We start from the raw sequence: 20,780 nt of genomic DNA, 5'->3' as shown, positions 1-20,780 counted from the left end.
GACATTCCTTTCTTCTTCAATCAAATCTTGTTCTCAAAAGGCTCATATTAAGATTTTCCTTCTCTGTGTTTGATGCATCTTTGAATTTCTAAGTCCACAACAATTTTTCTCTTTTCTTAATATTATGGTACTTGCCTGTCACCTGAGAAGCTTTAAAAAATCAGATACCTGGGCCTCAACTCCAGAGATTACAATTTAGTAGGTGCAAGGTAAGACCCATGAATCTGTGTTTTAAGGTCCCCCTCTCCAGGGAATCTTTGAATACATTTCTAGGTTTTGGTTGTCCAGCTCTTTGCTATGCACACAGCTGTCCTGGCTTAATGTTTAACCATGCAGGCAACCCTCCCACAGTGCTTTTATCATAGTAGTTATCACATTTTGAAAATTATTTCAACTATTTGAAGGTAAAGACAACAGGAGCTAATGTAGTTTAGGCATACAGGATGTGCATAATAAAAGTTTACTGAATTAATGAATATGGGCTCTACAGCAAGACAGATTTACAGTCCAATCTGTGCCACCTTAACCTTGGGCAAGTTACGTAACTCCAAGTCGTTGGTTCCTCCTCTACAAAGTAAGGTTAACAAGCCCTATCTGACACGATTTTTAAGGAGTAAATTAATTAATATATGTAAAGTATCTAGCATATCTCCTGACACAGAGCAATATTAAACATACCCCTTCAAAAAGAAAGTGTTTTAAGCCTTTATTGTATCCTCCACATGACCTAGCACCGCACTCCTTACATAGGACACAATAAATAAACATTTGCTGCCTTAACTAGATCAAATACCAGTTGCCTCTTAGACTGGCATTCCACACATAGTAGTTATGCTGGCCCTGAGATCCTTTTGGAAATAGATCTCAGAGATAGCAGAGATCTATTATATATAAAATAGTGGTGCTGTGCCATCTTCAACTATGTGCCTCACTTTTAAACACTTTCACAGATGTCACAGGCACTCTTCTATGATAGAGCTCAGTAGTTTCAAATAGTGGTTGTGTGTTGAGCAGGTTTATATGCATTAAAAAAATTTAATTTCTGCAACAATCATACACAGTTATTTCTGCTTTTACCATGCCTGCTTCGAAAATGAAAAAAACTTAAAGATTGGAGAAGTTAAGGTCCAAGACACAACAGTACAAAATAGTAGAACCACAATTCAAACCTAGTTCTGACTTTAAAGCACAGCTCTTAGAAACTGTATGAGAATTGCTTCTATGTTTTAATTGGTGTGATTTTCACAAATTCAGTTTATTTTTCTTACACTACTCCCTTTGACACTGTCTTTGTAACTTAATTAGTTACTAGGAATGAGTCATGAGCAAAAATACCAACTAGACAAACAGCAGCTTATTATACCACCCTTCCTTTATAGAAGAGGCCAAGATTGGTTGGAATATAGTAAGCCATTGACATCATTAGTAAGCAAATTTCTTTTTTGTCTTTTTTTTTTGAGGTGATATCTTGCTCTGTGCCCAGGCTGGAGTGCAGTGTCGTGATCTTGGCTCACTGCAACCTCTGCCTCCCAGGCTCAAGTGATCTCCCACCTCAGCCTCCTGAGTAGCTGGGACTATAGGCATGTGCCACCAAACCCAGCTAATTTTTTATTTTTTGTAGAGATGGGGTTTTGCAGCGTTGCCCAAGCTGGTCTTGAACTCCTGGACTCAAATGATCCAGCTGCCTTGGCCTCCCAAAGTGCTGGGATTACAAGCATGAGCTACTGCGCCCGGCCCCGAGTAAGCAAATTTCTGATGCCACCCTTGAAATATTTTTTCGTCATGGATACCTTTACTTGAGTCTCTGACAATGAAAGAAGGTCTGCACTCTTTGATGCTGAGGTGACACACTAAGGCAAGGTCAAGAAATAACTAAGAAAGAACTAGACATTATTCTAAATTATTTCTAAAATCTGAGGAACTGGTAGTAAAATAGTAACTCAAGTGGTATTTTGTTTTGTGTGTGTGGTTTTTTTTTAGAGATGGAGTCCTGCTCTGCACCCAGACTGAAGTGCAGTGGTTGATCATAACTCACTGCAACCTTGAACTCCTGGCTCAAGTGATCTTCCCACCTCAGCCTCCCAAATAGCTGAGACTACAGATGTGTGCCACCACACCCAGCTAATTTAAAAAACTTTCTTCTTTAGAGATGAGGTCTCGTTATGTTGTCCAGGCTGGTCTTGAACTCCTGGACTCAACTGATCCTACCACTTCAGCCTTCTGAGTAGCTAGGATTACAGATGCAGCCATTGTCCCTGGCTTCAAGTGGTATTTTGAAATGTATTAAAACAAGCATATTGCTAGGCAGTTCCAATTGACTAAAACACAGCAATGCCCTTTAAAAAAATTAAGGCAAGAGAATTTCAAGAGGAATAATCATTAAAATGAAATATGTCAAACCAAGGAGCTTCGAGTGAACCATATGGTAAGTTTAGTACTCCCAGTTTTAACAAATACCTCAAACTTTTCAAAATTTGCTTCTTAAAGTGAGACCAAACCTTTGGCCAAAGTTCTCGAGTTTTTTGTGCAAATAAGCACTCAGACTCATGAGAAATCATAATTTTTTTTCTGATAAGTTTTTATTATGGCAATTAAAATAGCATAGGTTGAGTATTATATAAAGAATTTGAGGCAGTTTTTCTTTTCACATGAAAATGAAAACATATTCTAATGCTGGCGACCTCCAGGTAAATTTTACATGTATCAAATTTTTAACTCAGGATTAATTGAAGGAAAGTTCTGTCAAAACACGAGTCTATTTGTCTATAAGTCTTCACATCTCTAAACATAGCCATAAATAAGGTAGCCTATGTTACCTTAAGGGATGTACTGTTTTTATAGGAGAAACTGTTTCCCACATCTCTAACTTAATCTCTGATTTAAAATATTGAGATAAAAATAAAGCACTTAAAATCAAGGGTCAATTATTTCCACTTAAATCACTCACTATATAAATCACTACACTCTATTTTTGTGTTGAATATTAGTATTATTCCTCGGCTAAATATCAATATTTGCTTTGCATCAATATTTACCTGTCAATCAATCAATCTTAGAATTCACTTGAATTCACTTACACTTGTTCATTGTTCAGTCACAAAAAGGGTCTAATTTGTCTCAGGTTTCCAAGCCCCTCAATAAAAACCTTGGTTGTGGTTTCTATTAATAACCTATTTCCCTACAAATATATGCTCCTTTTCTATGGGCTTTAAACATATTTAATAGCTTGTATTCTTAGAATTAAAAAAGACATTCAGATTGACAAATGAGAGTGCACACCACATTTCAGAAGCCAATGCGAAACTCAATAGGTTCAACGTTTCCTGATTTGGAGTTTAGGGCTTGTGCATGTCATACAATTCATAGTGTAATTTTCAAACCTTCAAATAAAATGCTGATAAAATGGACTCCCCAGGTGAGTCTAATATGTTAAGGTTGAAAACCACTAATCTCAATAGTGAAAATTTAAGACAGTCATAGAGAGACATAAAGAGTATATATAAAAGGAAAGCAAAGCACTGAAAGACTACAGCTTAGAAAACGTGTGTGTGTGTGCATCTCTTTCAATAAGAATGTATGAATTGAAAGCCTATCAATAGGTATTCTCCCATAACCTCACTGGTGCGCTTATTTCTTTTCACATTTGGCATAAAACTATAGCCAATTTCCAAATTTTACTTATAGGTGCCCTTTTAAACTTTCATCTGCTCTTTACTAATTCAATGCAGGAGGCTTAGGAAATAGTTTCCCCCAAATACCAATTTCACTTACATTATCATGCTTAAAAAAACACAACATCTTCAATTCCCGGAAGACCCTTTTGCAAGAGACCAGATTCTGGAAGACGTTGGGCATCTTTTTGAGCGCTACTCTCTTTCCATCTCTTGGATCTGTTACTGACCTAAAGAAGCAATATTTGGGGAAGGGGAAAAAAAAGACAGAGAAATCAGTTCCACACCTTGTTTTCCAATGTTTCAGATCATGACAATATCTTTATCTTAAAACACTCAACATTAAGTCCACTTAATGAAGCTTAAGGTGTCAGTGAGAAAGATAAAAGAGTACATATCTATAATTAAAGAGAATGTTTGGTCACCCAACTCATCTGCCATGCTTTAAAAAAAAAAAAATCCCTGTCTAAATTTCTATAAACACTTACTCTTTCAGAGAGGTCACTTTATACATCTGAGGTAGGAGAGGTATTAGTGGTAAAGCCATTTTAAAGATGGGAAAAAACATACAGAAGCAGCATAGATCATTAATTTGATAAAAGTCAAATTAGCTTTATGCTTTATTTTCAGAACTACATTTGAGAGGGAAGACATGTTCAAACACAATTTAAATATTTAGATTTCTTATGTATATGAACATCTTTTAGTAATATGGACTTCAATATAAGCAGCAGTTGAACACTGTCCCCTCCTTAGAAGTCTGGGTGCCAGCTTAGGGATCCCTGTAGCTCCCGAGTAATGATAACCTCATCCCTTTTATTTCCCAGCTCTTAGTGTGGTAGTTGCTTCTTGCAGTTACTATCTTTTTAATAACTGTGTCCCCCCACTCCCTTTTTTTTCTCTTTTTGCCTTCCAACACCTATATAACCAATTTCCTGTATTATATTTCCCTATGTTTGAAATAGGAGTGTGGTTTCTGTTTTTCTGACTGAACCCAGTTGATACATATTAACTAAATAGGTAAAAGAATGTCAGGCCAGGCTCAGTGGCTCATGCCTGTAATCCCAGCACTTTGGGAGGCCGAGGTGACTGGATCACCTGAGGCCAGGAGTTTGAGACCAGCCTGGCCAACATGGTGAAACCCCGTCTCTACCAAAAATACAAAATTTAGCCGGGCGTGGTGCATGTCTGTAATCCCAGCTACTTGGGAGGCTGAGGCACAAGAATTGCTTGAACCTGGAGGCGGAGGTTGCAGTTAGCCAAGATTTCTTGACTGCACTCCAGCCTGGGCAACAGAACGAGACTCTGTCTCAAAAAAAAAAAAAAAAAAAAAAAAAGAAAAGAAAGAAAAAAGAAATACCAATAAATTGAGTATACACGGCCAATTGGTCATTTGGCAAACTGACTTTCCATGAATTAACCTAGAGCTTTTTTTTTTTTTCCCCCCTTCTACCTATCATACTAAGATTGGTTGTTCTGGTAGAATTTATTCCTGTCCAATTTATTTAGCTAGATTCCTGCCTAACATTCTCAGCTATTATCGTTCAGCCCCTGTTCTGATCATCCAATGCTCTGAGTATTTATTCCTCCTAAATTTGTGTCATTTTAAAATTTGAGGCTAGGCTCAGTGGCTCATGCCTCTGTCCCCAGCACTTTCGGAGGCTGAGGCAGGAGGACTGCCTGAGACCAGGAGTTTGAGACCAGCCTGGGTAATACAGCAAGACTCTGCCTGTATTCAAAAAAAAGAAAAAAGAATTGATCCATGTGACATTAATGTCTCTTTCTAAGTTATTAATTAAAGTTTAGAACAGGACTGAGACTAGATCTCTGCAACAGATACAATACTAGAAATCATCAACGAGACTGACATTCAATCATTAACCTTGAGTATGGATATTCAATTACTCATTCAATGAACTACAATCACTCAGGAAATCAGACACTCATCAAATTGCTTTCCTGAAAATAAAAATTCCTATTGTCTACATATCTGTCTAAAAACCATATCAAACTTCTTTATGGATTCATTTTAGTGATCACTACTTCCTTTTCTAAGTGCTCATGAAACTCTGAAATGATGTATTCTAGTATTTTTTTTCCTTAACATGGTGCTATCTCTACTGAGTATTCTAGTATTTTTTAACAACACGATGACTTCACTTTCTTCCATTGGCCAATATTTTGATAAAACAAGTATTATCTATTATTATTATTCTTTAGAGACAGGATCTCACTGTCACCCAGGCTGGAGTGCAGTGGCACAATTAAAGATCACTGCAGCTTGGAACTCTTGGGCTCAAGCAGTCTTCCTGCCTCAGCCTTCTGGGACTACAGGCAATTTTGAGTTTTCAATAGCTTCATATGTAACTCAAGTAGGCCAGGAGACCTAACATTCATGACTGTTGCTTAAAAAATATGAACCCAGGCAGGGCGCAGTGGCTCACACCTGTTAAACCCAGCACTTTGGGAGGCTGAGACAGGAGGATCACTTGAGGCCAGGAGTTTGAGACCAGTCTAGGCAACACAGTGAGACCCTGTCTGTATTTTACACACACACATACACACACACACACACACACACACACACACACACACACCCCAAGCCAAATCTGCAATACTGATTAAAATCCACATAAACTAGAAAATAGGAGGGGACATTGATATATTGCTGTATTCAGACTATTAGTTAGAAGTACTTTTTTTCTGTTTAAATATACTACTTCAGTATCTAGCTACTAGAAGAGAAAAATGTCAATGAAATACGAAAAAGGGAAAACTTCAGATCACACACTGTATTCAACTGTCACGTCTCTTTGGTATTCTCTAATCTAGAAGTTATTTGGCATGTCTTTCATGACTGCCATTTGTGAAATATACAGACCAGGCCAGTTACTTTGAAGACTAGCCCTTAATTTGGGTTTGTTGTTTTCTCATAACTAGATTCAGATTATTCATTTTTGACAGAAACAACAAAGAACTGATGCCTTCTCAGTGCATCATCTCAGGAGGCATATAATGTCAGTATGTCCCATTACTGTTGATAACTTTAATCACTTGAATGAGGTGTCTGCCAGGCTTCTCCACTATAAAGTTACTATTTTTTTCCCTTTGTAACTGTGTAAATATCCTATTCCTCACTGAACTTTGATCCATTAACTTTAGTATCCCCTCATGATTTTTGCCTGAATCAATTATTACGATGGTTGCCAAATGACAATAATTTTAATATCTTTAACAGTTAGCCGGGCACAATAAATATTAGTTTTTAAACATGAGATAAATTGATTTAACACAGTGCCCTTTCCAAAGGCCTCATACAATACTTCTTCCTAACTTCTGACTACTACTTACTGGTTACCCTATTATGGTGAGAAAAGCCACCATAATAAAGGAGATAAACCCACTCCTGAAAATACTTGACACAGGCTCAAGGTGAGTACTATGTCTTGTAATGTTTTAAAGTAAAATTCACAAAGCAGCATTTTATTATTCATGCAAAAGCCAGTCATGCCTGTGGCTGGCAACAATATAACTCTAATGAATGTGAATGGCAGTGCAGTAATTTCACGCCATGTTGAGTTTGTTCTCTCTTAACTTGAGGTAGCAGATGCTTTGGTTCAGCACAAACAGTACCACAGAACACAGATAAGTGTGGAAGCATGTTATACAGGAATTCTTTTATTTTTTGTTACTCAAAGGCTTGAGGCGCTTAGTTTCTCTGCTGCTGCCATACCCTGGTTATTCTAAATGCACTTGCTAATGAAGCTCCAGCTGTAGAGATAATGAACAACATTTAGTACAAGTTTCTTCATTTCAGAAAAAAAGGAGCCATCCTTATACCTACAATTCTAGGGCAGTTACTTTCTCTGCTAAACACTGGATGCCTTAAATAAGACAGTGCATCTGTCATTTCATCTGATTCCCTTCTTAAACAGTGAAGTTTTACTTACAGGAGTTTACTTCCTAAGTTTTAAATTAATACTTCAAGCAGCATGTTTAAGAGTCGTGAGAAAGAATCCTCACTTACACCTGTCCAGAGTTTATCAATACTTCTTTATACTCATAAATTCAACTGTTTTTTAAAAAGCCAGAAGAATCCACAAGTCCTTTTTCAGAGAGATACAGAGTTGATCAAAAGAGTACAATAACAAAACAGGAAGCATTTTAGATCTGTTGTGGTCATTTTGTTGAGTTTTCTTAATCCCAGAAAACGGAACACTGCCACAAATCTGCTTAAATTACTGACAAGCAGAAAAGTTGTAATGAAACAAAAGTGAAACTTATTATTGGGAATACTTTCTCAGCCACTAAAATGTCACTTAAAACATCTTTAAACTAGTCAGCAAGAATCTCCAAGAAATTGTGTTTCTCTTTCATTTTTATGTGAAGAATCCCCCATGTGTTAGCAGTTTTAAAATTCATGTTTCTGATACATGTTTTTAGCTATTCAAAGCAAATACATAATATAATAAAAAGAGTGCTTCAACTTGGTTTAAGAAAATCAGGTTCTTGTAATTCTATTCACATAAAGTTGTAATCAGCAATCCTCCATTTCTTGCTATACATACTACAATTACTATGTCAACTATACTGAGTACATATCTCAGTAACAGAACCTCCTAACTAAACTCTAAATATTTAGATTATTGCCGTCACATTTATTTTGAAATTCATTTCCTTATTTTTACTTGTATTTAGATTGCCTGTTTCAGAAAACAATAGCAAACTGAGGCAAAATTTTTGACAACAAACAAGTCTAGGAAATGTATCCTATTTGTTACCTTGGTCCTTGTTATATATTCAAGGATACACAAGAAATTTATGTAACAAATTATGGAATAAGAAATTTACTTTTATTTCTCACTGGTCTTTCTAACTGCAATTTTAAAGGGCTATAATTTGTGTGCACTCCACCATATTTATAGAGTTGTATACAATTTAGAAGAAATCTTTCTAGGCCTTTCCCCCATCCAAAACATAAATAAAAAACGGATTCTCATCTTCTATATTTAATGTATTATATTAGCCGAGTTCTTTTCTCATTTGTTTATCCAAGTTTGTTAATTGTCGGGTTAGCTGTATGCATAAGAAAGAGATCCTTTTCCATTTTGTCAGGATATATAAAATGATTCCCAAATTTGCTAATTTGTATTACAAAGAAAAAAGGCCTTATATGATAGCTAAACCAAGGCTGAGAAACAGTTCATTCTTTTCTTCATATCCTCCTAATATTATTCCTTAGGAGCAGCAAAATATCTATATTTGACTGAAAGAGTTAAATAAGAACTTAAACATCCTCTAACTCTGTGTTTAATGAACTAAAAATAGCAAAGATCTCAGCAGATAAGACAGCACTGGGCCATTCTAATCTGTAGTGAGACACCTGAAAGTACTGATAATGGAGGAAGGCTAAGCAACAGGTAAGCCATCCAGTATCAGGCTGTCATATTTATTTTCAAGTACTTAGTACTAGTGAGTGAAACCTAACTCTTAAGACCCTTTCAGTCCCCACCAATAATACTGGATAAGTTAAAATGCAGCTGAAAATCATTTTATGCTAATTCTTGTGGTCTTGGGAATATTTAATTGTTCTTTAGATCATGAATTAATTAGTTCCATCTATACTATAGATGCTGGGGAGATACAGAGACTTCCTCCTCAGTCACTGTTAAATATGTCTACGAGGAATCTGAACTGCCTGCAGGAAAACTGCCATGCTGGATTTTCTCATGTTAGAGGGTGAAGATGATACAGCCCAGTCTGCCAAGTCTAGGAAGTTTTCATGGCCTACTAGCCACAGTCCTTGCTTAGAAACAGACCTATGAATATTGCATGGGGAGGAAAACCAGTTGAAAGAATGAGGGAAAGGTTTCTATGCAAATCCACAAAGGAAAACAATTCACAACTACATCTCCCTCTTGCATTTTAACAACTTTGTCTAGGCAAGAAGAGGTCACAAAGCGCAAGTAAAACTGAAAATATGTCACACAAAAATGCACTTATTTTTAATTCCACTGGTGACTTCCTGAAAGATATGTGTTCAGTAATAGGAACATTGAGGACTAGAAAAAAATTTATATTTAACAAATGGCAATTTTTGTTGCACATTAGGTTTATAAGGATAGAAAACATTTGAAAGAAAAAGACAGTTTTATTCACATGGTAGGTTTGTGACAGTGTGGCTTTGCAGACGTCAAAAATCTTAATGAATTTAGAAATAAAGTTCACATCAGAAAAGAAAACTTTGTTCTGAATTGTCGTAGAGCATACTTTAATATTTTAATGGCTAAGCTAATATTTTAATAATTACTTAATACAAAATGTGAACAATATGCTTGAAGTTAAAAGTAAATTGAACATATCAACAGTAAAAAACATTTTTGAAATAAAAGAGGCCCTTCACCTGGTTGCACTCCTGAAAGCAAGATGGGTCACCAGCAGCTCTACTAGAGCCACCCATGAAAATTCGGCCGGGGTTCTCACTCTTGCTGCGTCTGCTCAAACCAGCATGGTCTGATCCTGAAACATGGCCTCAATAGGTGCTGCCAGTGTTTCCATCAGTACATGAAGGATATAGGTTTCATTAAGTTGGACCAAATGATCTTTGTTGAATGAATTATCCAAGGCATCCACCCAATGATAGAAACCATGTTAGCTCTTTGTACATAAAATAAAAAATTTTAAAAATATAAATGAGGAAATGTCAATATGGCTTAGAATTAGTTATAAATAAAATGTCCGTATTTTCTAGAGATGCATACTTATAAGTATAAATAGGTGAAATGACATGAGATCTAGGATTTGTTTTAAAATACTTCAGCAACAACAATAAAAAATAGTTGAAGCAAATGAAGCAAATCTTATTAATTACTGAATCTAGGTGGTGGGTATAATGGGGTCTAATTATACAAAAGGAAAATAATGTAAGTCTGAAATTTTCAAAATAAAAATAATAAAATGAAATTTATAAAAAACTATTTATAATATTAAAAATATGTAATATCTGGGATTAAAGCTAACAGATGCTACTCAAGACTTCTATACAAGATGTTTAAAAAATATTACAGAGCAAAATTAAAGAATAAATGGAAAGATGTATCATATTCACAGATTAGAAAACTCAACATTGTAAAATTGTCAACTCCCCCCAAATTGATGGGGGGGATAGATGAAGTAGTTTTAAAGTTTTTCTATAAATTTAAGTGTGCTAAGGACAGCTAAAACACTTGAAGAAGGATAGGTCGGTTTTGAAAAATTGCTCTACTAGGTATGAAGACATAATAAAGCTACAGTAATTTACATAGTGTAATATTGGTACAAAGACAGATGAAACAGAAATATAATCAATCTAAAAAGAGACTGTCGCCTATATGAACACTTGACTTACCAAAAAGTTGGCTCTGCAGAGCAGTGGAGACAGGAAGGTTGTATCAGTTATTAAGCTATTGTCTCTCAGCTTCAAACCCATCCGCCTAAACACTGCTCTATCATGCTGGGGCTAAACTCTACAAACCACATTTTGGTTTTGCCAACTGGCTCCATGTTAGGCTCTGCCAACAGAATGTTGTAGAGAGAGACTGCAAGGGTGGTGGTGGAGGAAGAAGGGACTTGCACCTCCTATGGGCTTCCTGTCTGTTTCTTGTTTCTGTGACACCCAAGCAATACTTCTTCACTCCCAGCAGTAGTACCTTCTTATAGCAGTAGCTGAATCCAGTTTACAGTTCTGCCAAAACTTGCAGAACTAGCCTCACTGCATCTTCCATGCCAGATACCAGCACAAGTGAGCCAGTATCCTCTCCTCAGACATCATGGGGTTCTAAATTTGAATAATTCCAATCTCTTCCCTTTATTCTTCCTGCTGTGGGGTGGAAACTGCTACTTTTGTGATATCTTAGTGTTTTCTTCTTGCATTTTTAGTTATCTACTTGACAACTTTATACCTAATTAACATTTTTTCCATATTAAACTCTGTTTAAATAACTGGTGTGGTTTCTTTCTCCTGATCAAACCCTGCCAGATACAATATCTTTTCAATCTATGTTATTGGAACCATGAAATATCCACATGGAAAAACAAGATGAACCTCCAAACCTACTCCACACTATACACAAAAACAAATTCCAGGTAGGATGTAGATATAAACATGAAAAGCAAAATCACATCGCTTTTAGAAGATAACGTATAGAAGAATATGATATTAAGGCAGGGAAAGATTTCTTCAATTGAACACAAAAAGCACTAATTACACTGGAAAATATTGATATATTTGACTACCTTAAAATCAAGAACGTCTTTTCATATCTACATTAAGAGGGCAAAAATGCAAGTCACATAGGAGAAGATGCTTGCAACACTTATAAGGAACAAAGGGCTCTTATCCAGATGTATACAGAACTCCTACAAATCAATTTTTTAAAAGTCTAACAATAGCAAATGTTTTGTTGAGATGAAGTGCAATGGAAATTCTTATAGTTTAGGAGGGTAAATTGTTATAATCACTTTGGAAAACAAGTTGACATTATCTATTAAGTCAAAAATATATACACACTATGACCTGGCAATTTGACTCCTAGGTATATAACCAAAAGGAATATGCATATCTATACATTAAGACACATGCAAGCGTATTCAGAGCAGCAATATTTGTAATACCCTTAAAACTGGAAATAGCTTAAATATCCACAAACAGAATGTTCAATATATAATATACAGTATACAAATTGTAGTATATTCAAACAATGGAATACTCTCCAGCAATTAAAATGAACTACTGCTATATGCAACAACATAGATAAATCTTACAAACATAATTTTGAACAAAAGAAACCAGGCACAATAAATATACACTACAAGATACCATTTCCATAATATTAAAAAAAAAGGCAAAGTTAAACTATAATGTTTAGGGATGCACACTTAGGAGATAGAAACTGTCGGGAAAGGAAGTAGTTAGCATAAAAGTTAGGATAGTGATTATCTCAGGAGGAGAGGACAATGGTGGTAGAGTGTCAGAGGCGTTTGAATTAGAGCAACTCCATCTTGAATGGGGGTTGGGTAAAATGAGGCTGAGATCTACTGGGCTGCATTCCCAGGAAGTTAAGGCATTCTAAGTCACAGGATGAGATAGGAGGTCAGCACAAGATACAGGTCATAAAGACCGTGCTGGTAAAACAGGTTGCAGTAAAGCAGCCAGCTAAAATACACCAAAACCAAGATGGTGATGAGAGTGACCTCTGGAATTATAATGCATTAGCATGCTAAGAGACACTCCCACTAGTGCCATGACAGTTTACAAATGCCATGGCAACACCAAGAAGTTACCCTATATGGCCTAAAAAGAGGAGGCATAAATAATCCATCCTTTGTTTAGCATATAATCAAGAAATAATCATAAAAATGGGCAGCCAGCAGCCCTCAGGGCTGCTCTGCCTATGGAGTAGTCATTCTTTTATTCCTTTACTTAAGTAAACTTGCTTTCACTTTACTCTATGGACTTGCCCCAATTTTTTCTTGTGTGAGATCCAAGAACCTTCTCTTGGGGTATGGATCCAGAGGGCACAGGGGACTTCTGGGTACTGGTGATGTCCTGTATCTCACTTGAATGGTGGTCATAGAGGTGTGCACTTTGTGATACACCATTGAGTTATACATTTTATTTTGTGTATGTGTGTTACTAAATAATTAGAAAGGTTTTTTAAAAAGGCAAACTGCCCAGCTTAATTTTCTAGCACACAAAAAATTTTAGCTTAAACCTGTATAATTTTTAAAAGGATGAGTAACTTTTTAAAAGGATGAGTCTTTCCATTATTTTTCATATAGATATACATCTATACCAGCCCAAAGAACTTTGTCACTTCTCTCCCTGTGCCAAATTCATTCTGTAGAGAGGAGTATACTATAATGTCTTTTTTATGTTGTAGAATTCCAAAGGAATCTGCTTGCTTAAAAAAAAACAAACATTTCCTTCATCATTACACAAGAATACATTATTAGGAAGCATTCCACAGGAAAGCGCTGTCAGCAAATTTAGGACTACAGCCCCACCCCTAATCTAATCACAATCTCCTAACTTCTTCCGTTGTGAAGCACAATGCTGAAGCAGCTACAATATATAGATGTGCTTCAGGTTTTCAATTAGCCTGTTAAAAATAAACAAACCCAAAAATATTACAAAAACAAAACAAAACAGGAGGCAGGACTTCCAGCTGTGGCAAATTGAAGAGGTCAGCAAATCCTTTCCCCTCAAAACAACTATAAAACTAGACAAAAGTGTCAAAAACAGCCATTTTGGGACTCCAGAAAAATGGCCAAAGTCAAATGACAAATTTAAGTGTTTTTACAAAAAACTGCTGAAATTTGTGTAAGAATAGTGGGAGTCACAGCTTGGGTCAGCTTCTTACCCCACCCCTGCCACACCCTACCCAAGCACCAGTACATCTAATAGTTCCTGGGCAAGGCTGGCTACAAAACCCAGCAGCTTCGTTGTCACAGGGAGCTAACATGATTTGAAGGGGAGGGCAAAAAACCCACACCCAGTAGCAATGTGGGGTCAAAGCATTAAACTCAACTAGAAAAGAACAGAGAAAGCCTATAGCTCTGTTATTCAAAGGCTGCTGTCCTGGTTGAGAAGAAGGGCAGACTATCAGAAATCTAGAAATTTAACAAGGAGATTCTGGAAATGAGAGAGCCACAGAGGGGGCTAAACTCCCCCACACAGTCCTGGCTAACTGATGGCTGAATATATGCCCAGAGGAGACTGGAGATAGCCTGAACTCTCCATAGATCTCTTGCTGACTGAGAGGCTTCCTGCATGTGAGGAAAAACTGAGGGCTCAGCAGAAAATAAAAGCTGGGCATATTTGAAAACTACATGCTCTCCCTACACATACACACACACACACACACACACACACACACACACACACACACACACACACCACACACACACACACACACACACACACACACACACGGTATAAGCCTTATTAGCTCAAAATGCCTGAGCACAACCTTTAACCAATAGCCAACCACTCAGCTATGCAGACACAAGCAGGACTCCAAGAAAGCTAGGCTAAAAATTAAAAAAAACAAAACAAAATTGAGCAGAGACCCGAGTTGGCTACACCTCAGTGGGGAGACAGATTCTGCACATTAAGTCTGCACGTGTCATTTAAGAATAAGCAAATATACATAACAACAATAATGACAACCGTCAGAGGTGAGGAAAATCAGAACCAGAGCTGTTACACTGTATTATCTAATACGTCCAGTTTTTAGCAAAAAGATTCCACAACATGTTAAGAAACAGGAAAATGTGGCCCATACTCGGGGAAAAAAGCAGTCAATAAAAACTGTTTCTGGACAGGCATGATGGCTCATGCCTGTAATCCCAGCACTTTGGGAGGCCAAGGTGGGCAGATCTCCTGAGGTCAGCCTGGCCAACATGGTGAAACCCTGTGTCTACTAAAAAAAAAAAAAAATTAGCCAGGCATGGTGGCATGCATCTGTAATCCCAGTTACTTGGGAGGCTGAGGCAGGAGAATCACTTGAACCCGGGAGGCAGAGGTTGCAGCGAGCTGAGATTGCGCCACTGCACTCCAGCCTGGGCAATAGATCGAGACTCTGTCTCAAACGAACAAACAAACGAACAAACAGAAACTGTTTCTGAGTGGGTCCAGATGTCCTATTCAGAAAAAGACTTCCAAACTAGCTATCGTAAATATGCTCAAAGAATTAAAGGAGCGGGCGGATCACGAGGTCAGGAGATCGAGACCATCCTGGCTAAAACGGTGAAACCCCGTCTCTACTAAAAATACAAAAAATTAGCCGGGCGTAGTGGCGGGCGCCTGTAGTCCCAGCTACTTGGGAGGCTGAGGCAGGAGAATGGCGTGAACCCGGGAGGCGGAGCTTGCAGTGAGCCGAGATCCCGCCACTGCACTCCAGCCTGGGCGACAGAGCGAGACTCCGTCTCAAAAAAAAACAAAAACAAACAAACAAAAAAAAGAATTAAAGGAGACTTGTTTAACAAATTAAAGAAAAATATGGTGACAATGACTCAACAGGGAATATCAACACAGACGTAGAAACTACAAAAATAGAACAAAATCAGATTCTAGAGAAAAGTACATATTAGAAACGAAGAAAAAAGTTTGAAAAAATGAACAAAACCTCAGAGACCTATGCAGTAACACTGAGGGTACCAACATGCATGCAATGGGAATATCAGGAGGAAAGGAGCAAGAAAGAGGCAGAACAAGTATTTGAAGAAAAAGAAATAATGGTTGAAATATTTCCAAATTTGATGAAAAATAATCTACAGATCCAAAAAGTTGTAAAAAAAAAAAACCCAAAAAACCCAAGTAGGATAGACACAAAGAGATCCACGCCTAGACAATTCATAGTCAAACATCAATTCAAGTCAAAGAAAAACTCTAAAAATAGCAAGAGAAAAACAACAATATGATAAATGACTGACTTCTCATCAGAAAAAATGGAAGTCAAAGGCAGTGGAATGCCATATTTTAGTGGAGAAAGCAAAAATTCTATATCAGACTAAGAAGATCCTATCCTTCAAAAATGAAGTCCAAATGAAAATATTCCAAGATATATATATATAAGCAATAAATAATCTAAAGATGAACTTAAGAAAACAATTTCATTCACAACAGAATCATAAAGAATAAAATACTTACGGAATAAATTTTAAAAAGAAGTGTAACACATAGAATGCAAACTACAAAACATTGCTGAGATAAATTAGAGAAGATTTAAATAAGGGAACACTTCATATTTGTGGATTAGAAAACTCAATGGTGTTAAGATGACAATTCTCCTCTTAGTGACTTATAGATTCAATGTAATCCCAATCAAAATTGGAACCCTTTTACATTACTGGTAAAACTGTACAATGGCACATCTACCTTGGAAAACAGTTTGGCTGCACCTTAAAAAGTTAAACATAAACTTACCATGACCCTGCAACTCCACTTTTAGGTGTCTACACAGGGGAAATGAAAACTTATGTCCACACAAAGACATATGTAAATATTCATAGCAGCATTATTCATAATAGTCAAAAACTGGAAAGTGTCAAATCCATTACCTAGTGAATGCATAAACTATGATACATCTATACAACAGAACAAACTATTATTTATTAACATATGGATAAACCTCAAAAACATTATGCTAAGTGAAAGAAGCCAAACACAAAAGACTACATAATATATCACTTATAAGAAATTCTTGGAAAAAACAAATGTGTAGAGACAGAACATTTCAGTGATTGCCTGGGGTTGGGAGTAGGTTACTATTAATGAGCAAGTCTTTGGGGTGATGAAAATATTCTAAAATTGAGTGGTAGTGATGGTTGTATAACACCATAAATTAACTAAAAGTCACTGAATTACATACTTATGATGGGTAAATTTGATGGTATATAAATTATGCCTCAATAAAGTTGTTAGAACAAAAATCATCACCATAGAATATCAACTGTTTACAATATTGTAGGCCCTATTCTGATTTTATTCTGTACAGTTTCCTTCTATCCCCTTTGATATAGTTTTTCCATTCATCCAAATAGGTCACATATTAACCACTTATTTAAACAAACAGGAATCACCTGGAAATCTTAAAAATCTTTTTTTTTTTTTTCTTTTGTGAGACGAAGTCTCGCTGTGTTGCCCAGGCTGGAGTGCAGTGGTGCGATCTTGGCTCACTGCAAGCTCCGCCTCCCAGGTTCATGCCATTCTCCTGCCTCAGCCTCCCAAGTAGCTGGGACTACAGGCGCCCACCACCATGCCCGGCTACTTTTTTTGTATTTTTTTAGTAGAGATGGGGTTTCACCATGTTAACCAGGATTGTCTGGATCTCCTGACCTCATGATCCGCCCACCTCAGCCTCCCAAAGTGCTGGGATTACAGGCGTGAGCCACTGCGCCCGGCCTAAAATCTTAAAATGTAGATTGATTCCCTATGTCTGGGATGGGGAATAGAGATTCTCAGGTAATGCTGGAATCAAGGCTTCTAAAGATATTATATTGGTATCTTGGTTAAATATTAAATCTAGTAATTAATATAGTAAGCATGTAATTTTAATACTTCTGGCCTTCCCACCAGCCAGGGTACAACTTTCCATTTATTCAAACTAATTTCATACTTGCTATTAAAGTTTTATTATTCACATATACACAGAACATTATGTTAAAGTATTTTATGTGTGTCACTGTAAACAGGTATATATTTGTTGCTATATCATCTATTGTTAAAATACAGTAACATGCTTTACTTTTGTTAACTTAAAATTTGCAACCTAAATTCAATTATTATGCTGTTTAATTTTTCAGATTTTCTGGATATATAACAATCATTTGAATTCTGATAGTTTAATTTCCTCCTTGCATATATCTGTACCTTGTTTTTTTTAATTTTTATATAATAGCTAACATTTGATGTGAGGCCGCACTATTTTAATTATTTTTTAACAGAAGATGCCTTTACTTTTCCTTTTAGGCTAACATTAAATCTTAGTTACAAATATATATGAAAAACCCTTACATTTCCTTTATACTTTTGGATTGTCAGGAATGTATGTTAATTATTTTTTTTTAAGACAGAGTATCCCTCTGCTGCCCAGGCTGGAGCACAGTGATGTGATCTCGGCTACAACCTCTGCCTCCTGGATTCAAGTGTTTCTCCTGCCTCCTGAGTAGCTGGGACTACATGCACGCACCACCACACCTGGCTAATTTTTATATTTTTAGTAGAGATGGGGTTTCACCATGTTGGCCAGGCTGGGCTCAAACTCCTGACCTCAAGTGAACCACCTACCTTGGCCTCCCAAAGTGCTGGGATTACAGACATGAGCCACTGCACCCAGTCTGTTAATTTTTATAAGACATTTTTAGGATGTTTTCAAATATTTGGGGCACACCATGATTTTCACTAATTTTCTTTTTTAATTTAATAAGTTATAAACCCTTGAGAGCACAAGGATTCTACTGATATATGTCTCTTTGTATCCTTCCAGTGCCTAAAACAGTATCCCATCCCAGATCAATGAACATTGTTTTAATTGATTTTACTATTTTTCCCAGTAATGAAATGGATTATATTAATAGTTTGACTTACACTGAACCAATCCTGAATTTCTATACTAAATCTCACTTGGTCATGGTGAATATTATTTTTAATTGTTGAATACCTTTTAATATGTGTTCTATTTACATTATTCTTAGAGTTTTTTCATCTATATTCATCAACAAGACTGCCTTCAATCTTATGTTCTGACCTTAGTAGGCACCATACCTGTCTGCCTCACAAAATAAACTGGGTAACCTCTGGGTAACCTTCAAGTTACTTCAGTGTTTAGTATTTATTTCTTTTCTTTTTTTTTTTTGAGACAGAGTTTCGCTCTCGTTGCCCAGCTGGAGTGCAATGGTGTGGTCTTGGCTCACTGCAACCTCCGCCTCCCAGATTCAAGCGATTCTCCTGCCTCAGCCTCCCGAGTAGCTGGGATTACAGGCGCCTGCCACCACGCCCAGCTAATTTTTGTATTTTTAGTAGAGACGGGGGTCTCATCATGTTGGCCAGGCTGGTCTTGAACTCCTGACCTCAGGTGATCCACCCACCTCAGCCTCCCAAAGTGCTAGGATTACAGGCGTGAGCCACTGTGCCCGGCTTAGTAGCTATTCCTATGATATATATATTACGTACTGAAAAATATTCACCAGTGATTCCATCCAATTTTCTTGTGCTTCCTATTGCAACTAGTGTATTCAAAATACTTAGTTGTGTAGTGTTTTTAATTTTTGTAATCTAGTTTTTAAAGTTAAAAAAAGTTTTAATTATCCATTTCAGTAGTTTTCATCTTAATTTTGTCTATCTTACTCTGTTCTTTTTTAGGTCCTTTTGGGATTAACCAGTACATTATATATGCTCTATTTTTTCTTGTTGAAATTGGCATGTAGAGTTGAACAAAATTATGAGTTAAGCTATGCTAGCCTCATGAGCTGGATAATTGGTGATGGGGATTTTTTATGTCTTTCAAGTAGTATAGTTTTATTGTAGTATGTTTCTCTTTTTCATTTGGTTGAAAACCTGTTGTTTTCTTATTCATTTCCAATTTCATTGCACCATAATCTGAGGATGCTGTATGTAAAATTTACGTCAAAAGTATTTACTACGAAATGGTGTGTATTCAAATCTGTGCATTTAAAACAAAGTGCTCAGGCCTACTACTTCCATTTCATTCTCTTAAAAATTTATCTTATTACATTACTGAGGGCAATTAAATTTTTGTTTATTTGAACTGAAATTCTCATAGTGAGATATTATCTCTTATTCAAGTGTTCTGGTATACAGCTCTTGCATTTATTGGTTTTTGTGCATTCCTTGTCTTCCTGTTATAAGGAATACATCTGTTAGCATATAAGAAGCAGTATATAAGATATACCTCAATTTTACAAAAGAAGTTCTAGGCTATTTTATGTATTTTCATTATATACGAATTGAAATTATTATAAAATGGTAATATAAATTGAAATGCTATAGTGTTCATAAAAATAAAGCACACTGTATAAAAGAATTTATTTAGTTGAAGATAAGTTCTGAATATGCAAAATTATTCTGAAAGCTAAAAAGAAGAAATTAATGTTGCTTGAGGCATGTTTTCAATAAAATATGTAGAGTGAGGTACTCAAATCATTATTCTATATATTTCATGTTAGGTTCTCCAACCATAATCTGGATGCTTTAGATACAGAGTAAGTTTTTGGGAAACATACTTGGAAAAAATGCAATGGGAAAAATACTGCAATTTACTCCTGATTTTTAATTATGGTAAATAGAGCAATAATGGAAATTAAATAAATCACCCACAATAGGAACATCAAACATTGCAAACAGAAATTTTCTTTATATGTTGGTAGTCTGACACAGGGCTATGGCTTTGGCTTTGGGCACTGAAGCCTGTTGGCATGATGCAGGGAGGAGAACGACTCTAAGTGAGTAAAGTGATCATCATTAGCTAACAATGTCTACTCCAGATCCAGCTGGAGAAATGGAGGTAGGCTCAAAAGCTGCTAGCAAGAGATAACAAAGGCTTTCTT

The 20,780-nt window shown here is 36.4% G+C and overlaps 1 protein-coding gene and 1 pseudogene across 4 annotated transcripts in view, besides 1 other annotated feature; one reads left to right on the top strand and one right to left on the bottom strand.

The window, feature by feature from the left end:
• Window positions 1-20,780, bottom strand: part of NLK (nemo like kinase) — a 163,398-nt gene that overhangs the window by 79,571 nt on the left and 63,047 nt on the right. For all 4 annotated transcript variants that reach the window (XR_934482.2, XR_001752526.3, NM_016231.5 and 1 more), the window contains exon 2: window positions 3,772-3,901. Coding sequence is in view for 2 of the 4 variants with exons in the window: in NM_016231.5 (NP_057315.3) it covers window positions 3,772-3,901 (130 nt within the window). In the remaining 2 variants the exon portion in view is untranslated. The remainder of the gene's footprint in view (window positions 1-3,771; window positions 3,902-20,780) is intronic.
• On the top strand, window positions 10,098-10,265 carry RPS29P22 (ribosomal protein S29 pseudogene 22; annotated as a pseudogene).
• Window positions 12,389-12,890: an enhancer, noted in NCBI's record as "NANOG hESC enhancer chr17:26440640-26441141 (GRCh37/hg19 assembly coordinates)". NCBI's record gives its function as "activates a minimal SCP1, AML or CMV promoter by ChIP-STARR-seq in primed H9 embryonic stem cells {active_cell/tissue: H9 hESC(primed)}" and the evidence as "EXISTENCE:reporter gene assay evidence [ECO:0000049][PMID:30033119]".

This window comes from Homo sapiens, chromosome 17, assembly GCF_000001405.40.
Source record: "Homo sapiens chromosome 17, GRCh38.p14 Primary Assembly".
NCBI lineage: Eukaryota > Metazoa > Chordata > Mammalia > Primates > Hominidae > Homo > Homo sapiens.
Note: the sequence above shows the minus strand (reverse complement) of the source record. Positions and strands in the feature narration are given on the sequence as shown.